Raw genomic sequence first — 6,435 nt, 5'->3', positions numbered from 1 at the left:
AAGTAATTTCATTTAATCTTCACGGCAATACTGGAAACTGGATATTCTTATTGTTCCCATTTTTTAAATGGAAAATAAAGCTCAGAAAATTCTGTGTTTCATCCGAGGACACACAGCTGGAAAGGGGTAGAAGCCAGATTGGAAACAGGGTAGTATGTCTTCAGAGCTAGCACATTTTAGAATTCCATTCTTTCCTGCATGAATCCAACCAGCTCAGCTTTTCCTGCCCCATAGAACATTTATAAAGTCTGAACACATACTTAGAAACAAAGAAAAAAAATTAATTTAAAATTAAAGATTTTACAGGCCACAATCTCTTACTATAACCCCATAATGTTAAATTAAAAAGAAAACAATAATGTGGCTGAAAATATTTTTAACTACTTGGAAATTAATAAACGTACTTCTAGGTAACCCATGGATCAAAGGAAACATTAAAATGAAATTAAAACCCATCTAGAAACCGATGGAAAGGGGAACATTTTATTTCAAAACCTATGAGATCTTGAAAAAAGCTTAACACGGGAAAATACATTGCCTGAAATGGCTTTCTTATTAAAGAAGAAAGACCAAAATAAAAGCACTGACTATACATCGTAAGAAATTAGAAATACAAGCAAACAAAAAAAGAAAGTATGAAATGGGAATTAATCAATAGATGAATTTAATAAGGGAAAATAAGAAAAAGGGAAAATAAATACATAAATGGATTTTTGGAAACCAGAAGTGGCAAAAGAGGTCTGGATGTTGTCGGAGGTGGGAGGAGGCCTCAGTTTCCCCAAGCAGATCCATTTTGCAAAGTCCCACCTATCTGCAGCACAGGCTTCTGCCCCGTAGTCCTACTGAGCCCTGGACTCGTGGCCTCCTCCCACCAATCTCTCAACCTCTAAACTGTCAACCCAGGATGTCTCATCGCAGAGTCTGGCAATTTCACGGCGCAACCACGACTCCTTGTACTGAAGTCTTTTTTTTTTTTTGGGACCGAGTCTCGCTCTGTCGCCCAGGCTGGAGTGCAGTGGCCCGATCTCGGCTCACTGCAAGCTCCGCCTCCCGGGTTCACGCCATTCTCCTGCCTCAGCCTCCCGAGTAGCTGGGACTACAGACGCCCGCCACCATGCCTGGCTAATGTTTTTGTATTTTTAGTAGAGACGGGGTTTCACTGTGTTAGCCAGGATGGTCTCGATCTCCTGACCTCGTGATCCATCCGCCTTGGCCTCTCAAAGCGCTAGGATTACAGGCGTGAGCCACCGCACCCGGCCTGTACCGGAGTCTTCAGCACTTCCTCCCAGAAATAAAGTTCCTCCGTCTGGGCTTATTAAGCAAACGAGTCAGTTTTGTCTTTTTCAGCAATGAAAGCTGCTGTGGTTTTGTTTTCTCCCTGTTGCCAAGAGTCAAGAGGAAGTCTGTGGTTAGACTTCTTCGGGTGGAGACACACACAAACCCAGAGGCTATTAATGAGCTCCCCGGATCCAGCTCTCCCAGCCCAAGTGAACGGGACTAATGAAAGTGAACAAAGGGGAGACAGAGAGAGGGAGGTCATGCTGAGCTTCTATCCACTTGGCCCTCCAGACCTGCAGCACTCTCTCACCTCTTGTCTTCAAGGTGACTCTATTTCCCTTTCTGACAGTAGAATACTATGGATCCACTTTTCCTTCGAAGGATGAGGCAACCCAATTTGCTTTCACTCAAATCCAGAAACTAAATTTAAAAGATCCCTGTGAATTCAGTGCCCATCTTGGTATTGGAGCTTGTGGTAGGCACCACCAGCTGTCACCTGCAATCCATCCCCACCCCTTCCTTTCCATCAAAACCCTGGATTTGTTTAGTGGTGTGCCCAGCCAAAAATGTTCATTCTTCCAGCCTCCCTTGTACCTAGAGGGTGACCATTTGATTACAGTTCTGGCCAATATTACAGTTATTGGATTTCTAAGAAAACTTTTGCATTCGTAATGTAGGTACCAACTCTTCCTCCTTCTCCCTTCTTTTTCCCACCTGCAACTGGAACGTAAAGCCTGGAGGGGCAGTATCCATCTTGTGCATATAAGGTAGCATGTGTGAGGATGGAATTTGAACAGAGGGGAAAAGGGCTAGGCCCCCATTAACATTGTTAAATCATCCTCTCCTGCCCTGTACTACCCACCCTGCACTTCTTATGTCATAGGAAAATCAGAGCATCATCTGTTAAAACCACTGTAGCTGGCTGCTCTGTTACTTGCAGCTAAATGCATTCTCACTCTGTCGCCAAGGCAGGAGTGCAGTGGTGCAATCTCAGCTCACTGCAACCTCCACCTCCTAAGTTCAAGCAATTCTCCTGTCTCAGCCTCCCGAGTAGCTGGGACTACAGGTGCCCACCACCACACCCACGTAATTTTTGTATTTTTAGTAGAGACAGCATTTCACCATATTGTTCAGGCTGGTCTTGAAATCCTGACCTCAGGTGGTCCACCCACCTTGACCTCCCAAGGTGCTGGTATTTACGGGTGTGAGCCACTGTGCCTGGCCTAGCAAAATGCATTCTTAATTGAAACAAGAACCCCAGCTTTTTATAGTTCTTTACAGCTTTTTATTGGTTTTCAAAATATGTGCACCCCATCCTCGCATTGGGTCCTCACAGAAATTCTTCATGGTAGACCAGATCAACATCTTTCCTCATACTTTCAGATGAGGAAACTGAGGTTTCTTGGTAATGAAGTGGGTCAGAAAAAGATTCAGGGCCTGTATTGCAGGACTCTCTGTCTCCCAGTCCATTGCTTTTCCCAAGAAAATCCTTCTTGTCTTCAAGGCAGTTCAGAGTCAGCCTGTCCCTATAATATCTGTCCACAATCAACATTACACACAAAAGTGGAAGTTCTCAGGAACCTGGGAGCATGTGAACTAATTGCAATTTCAGCTTCCAGTGCCTGGAGTAAGTGTATTCTCTTATTTTAAAACCCACCACTTTGTGTAACAGGATCTGGGTTCAAGTCTTGGATCTCCCCATTACTCACTATGTGATCTTGGGGAAATTGCTGAAAACTGCCTACCCATCTATAAAATAGGAATAGCAGTTCTTCTCTCCTGAGGCTATGATAAGAAGAGCTCAGAGATATAGGATAATCTATGATCTATGATTAAAAGCTCAGAGAAAATAGTTTCTGAGCACTCAGGATGTCAGGGGGAGCACTTTGTGCATGACAAAGCACCAGGTGTCCTTGTGAGGGGCTGTTATCATGATGGCTTCAGCCTGTCTCAAGGCTCTGACTCCTCCCTGAGCTCAGCCCTCTTTGTGGCTGGCGTGTAAATTACGGATATGCGTCACATGCCTTCCTGACCACTCTTCACCATCCGTCAGCCTCATGAGGGCTGAGAACATTGATCTCATGAGGCTACACCTTTCAGAAAGAATCTGTGTTATAATTCTTATTTGCTCATTAAGTCAGGCTATTTTATTTCATATGTCCTTTACTTTCTTTGTGACTGAAATGTATTCATTCATGCACTTTCAAAAAAAAATACTGAGTTAGGCAGTAAGGTGGGGACTCTCCGGGTTGGAAGGGACTTAAAAATCATCCTGTTCATCCTGCCCCTCCCAGCCCAACCCCTCCCCATTTGAGACTGGCATCCCATCTTCAGGACCCCTGCCCCCTATCCACAGTGGCCATCCAGCCTCCACTTGCTCATCATAGAGACAAAGATTTGACTGTCTCCCACAGCCAGCATTTTGTCTCTGAACATTCTCTGTTAGAATGTTCTTCCTCAAACAGACGCTCCTTGGCAGACACAAGGATGTGTTCTTGGCAAACCTCTAATACTGTGCACATTTGACTGTGTAGGATGGTGACTGGCAGAGTTGGTGGGGGACGAAGGAGCCCACGTGAGGTGTTACCAAACAGGAAGTGCCATCTGGGCTGGATGATGAGAGTGAGGGAAAGTGTCAATCAGCTGCCCTGGGTGGCTCAAGAGGCAGCTTTTTCCTTCATGGTGTTAAAGAACTCAAGAGCAGCAATTACTCAGTGAACTCCAACATGCTGGGTATTCGCTAGAATAGGCCAGGCTATGCTGAAGTAACAACCTTGAAATCTCAGAGATTTAAAATAATGAAAGTTTATTTCTTGCTCATGGAGAATGCCATGGAGTGGGGGGCCCTCCTCCATTCTGCAGGCCATTGGGCATGCAGGGCCTCCAAGTCATCACCCCATGAAAGACAAGAAGGAGCCACACCAGCTCTTAACTGCATGAGCCTCATTCTACAGGCATACCTGATTTTATTGCACTTTGCCTAATGCACTTCACAGATATTGTGTGTTTTTCACAAATTGAAAATGTGTTGCAACCCTGTGTAGAGCAAGTCTGTTGGTGCCGTTTTTCCAATAGAATGTGCACACTTCCTGTATCTGTGTCACATTTTGGTAATTCTTGCAATATTTCAGACTTTTTCATTATTATTACATCTGTTATGGTGATGTGTGATCAGTGATCTTTGATACTACTATTGTAATTATTTTGGGGCACCATGAACTGCACCCATGTAAGACAGCGAACTTAATTAATAAATGTTTTGTGTGTTCTGACTGCTCCTACTGGCCAATCTCTCTCTCTCTCTCCCTCTCCTTCGGCCTCCCCATTCCTTGAAACACAAAAATATGGAAATTAGCCCAATTAATAACCATAAAATGGCCTCTAAGTATTTAAGTGGAAAAATGAGTTATACATCTCTCACTTTCAATCAAAAGCTAAAAATGATGAAGCTTGTGAGGAAGGCATGTCAAAAGCCAAGAGAAGTTGAAAGCCAGGCCTCTCACACCAGTTAGCCAAGTTGGGAATGCAAAGGAAAAGTTCTGTTTTGTGTTTTGTTTTGTTTGACACAGACTTTTGTTCTTGTTGCCCAGGCTGGAGTGCAATGGCACGATCTCAGCTCACTGCAACCTCCGCCTCCTGGGTTCAAGCGATTCTCCTGCCTCAGCCTCCCAAGTAGCTGGGATTACAGGTGCCTGTCACCATGCCCAGCTAATTTTTGTATTTTTAGTAGAGATGGTGTTTCACCATGTTGGCCAGGCTGGTCTCAAACTCCAGACCTCGTGATCCACCCCCCTCGGCCTCCCAAAGTGCTGGGATTACAGGCGTGAGCCATCAAGTCCTGCCAGGAAAAGTTCTTGAAGGAAATGAAAAGTGCTACTCCAGTGAACACATGAGTCATAAGAAAGTGAAACAGCCTTATTGCTGATATGGAGAAAGTTTGGGTGGTCTGGATGAAAGATCAAACCAGCCACTACATTCTCTTAAGCCAAAGTCTAATTCAGAGCAATGCTCTAACTCTTTCAATTCTATGAAGGTTGAGGGAGCTGAGGAAGCTGCAGAATAAATGTTGGAAGCTAGCAGAGGTTGGTTCATGGGGTTTAAGGAGAGAAGCCATCTCCAGAACATCAAAGTGCAAGGTGAAGCACCAAGTGCTATAATGTAGAACTACAGCAAGTTATCCAGAAGATCTAGCTAAAATCATTAATGAAGGTGGCTACACTAAAAAACAGATTTTCAGCATAGATGTAACAGCCTTCTATTGGAAGACGGTGCCATCTAGGGTTTTCCTAGCCAGAGTGAAGTCAATGCCTGGCTTCAAAGCTTCAAATAACAAGGGGACTCTCTTGTTAGGGGCTAATGCAACTGGTGACTTTACATTAGCCAATACTCTTTTATCATTCCAAAACTCCAAATAATTATGCTAAATCTACCCTGCCTATGCTCTATCACTGGAACAACAATGCCTGGATCATAGCACATCTGTTTACAGCATGGTTTACTGAATATTTAAAGCCCACTATTTAGACCTACTGCAGAAGAAAAAAGATTTCTGCTTTCAAAATATCACTGCTCATTGACAATGCACCTGGTCACGCAAGAGCTCTGATAGAGATGGACAAGGAGATTAATGTTGTTTTTATGCCTGCTAACACATCATTCTATAGTCCATTGATTAAGGAGACATTTTCACTTTTAGGTCTTATTATTTAAGAAATACATTTCATAGGATCATAGCTGCCATAGATAGTGATTCCTCTAATGGATCTGGGCAAAGTTGATTGAAAATATTCTGGAAACAATTCACCATTCGAAATGCCATTAAGAATATTCATGACTCATGGGAGGAAGTCAAAATATCAATGTGGACAGGAGTTTGGAAGAAGTTGGTTGTAATCTTAAAGGATGAATTATAGAGGTGCAAGATTTCAGTGGAGGAAGTAACTGCAGATGTGCTGGAAATAGCAAGACAACTAAAATTCGAAGTGAAGCCCGAAGATGGGAATGAACTACTGCAATCTCATGATAAAACTTGAACAGATGAGGAGTTACTTCTTATGAATGAGCAAAGAAAGTGGTCTCTTGAGATGGCATCTACTCCTAGTAAAGATGCTGTGAGCACTGTTGAAATGAAAACAAAGGACTTAGAACATTGCATAA

The 6,435-nt window shown here is 43.4% G+C and overlaps 1 annotated feature.

The window, feature by feature from the left end:
• Positions 3,143 to 3,192: a silencer, noted in NCBI's record as "silent region_6601". NCBI's record gives its function as "represses an Ori minimal core promoter by ATAC-STARR-seq in GM12878 lymphoblastoid cells {active_cell/tissue: GM12878}" and the evidence as "EXISTENCE:reporter gene assay evidence [ECO:0000049][PMID:35858748]".

Source organism: Homo sapiens, chromosome 15 (assembly GCF_000001405.40).
Source record: "Homo sapiens chromosome 15, GRCh38.p14 Primary Assembly".
Lineage (NCBI taxonomy): Eukaryota > Metazoa > Chordata > Mammalia > Primates > Hominidae > Homo > Homo sapiens.
The sequence above is the reverse complement of the archived record's forward strand: the minus strand, read 5'-3'. Positions and strand labels throughout refer to the sequence as shown.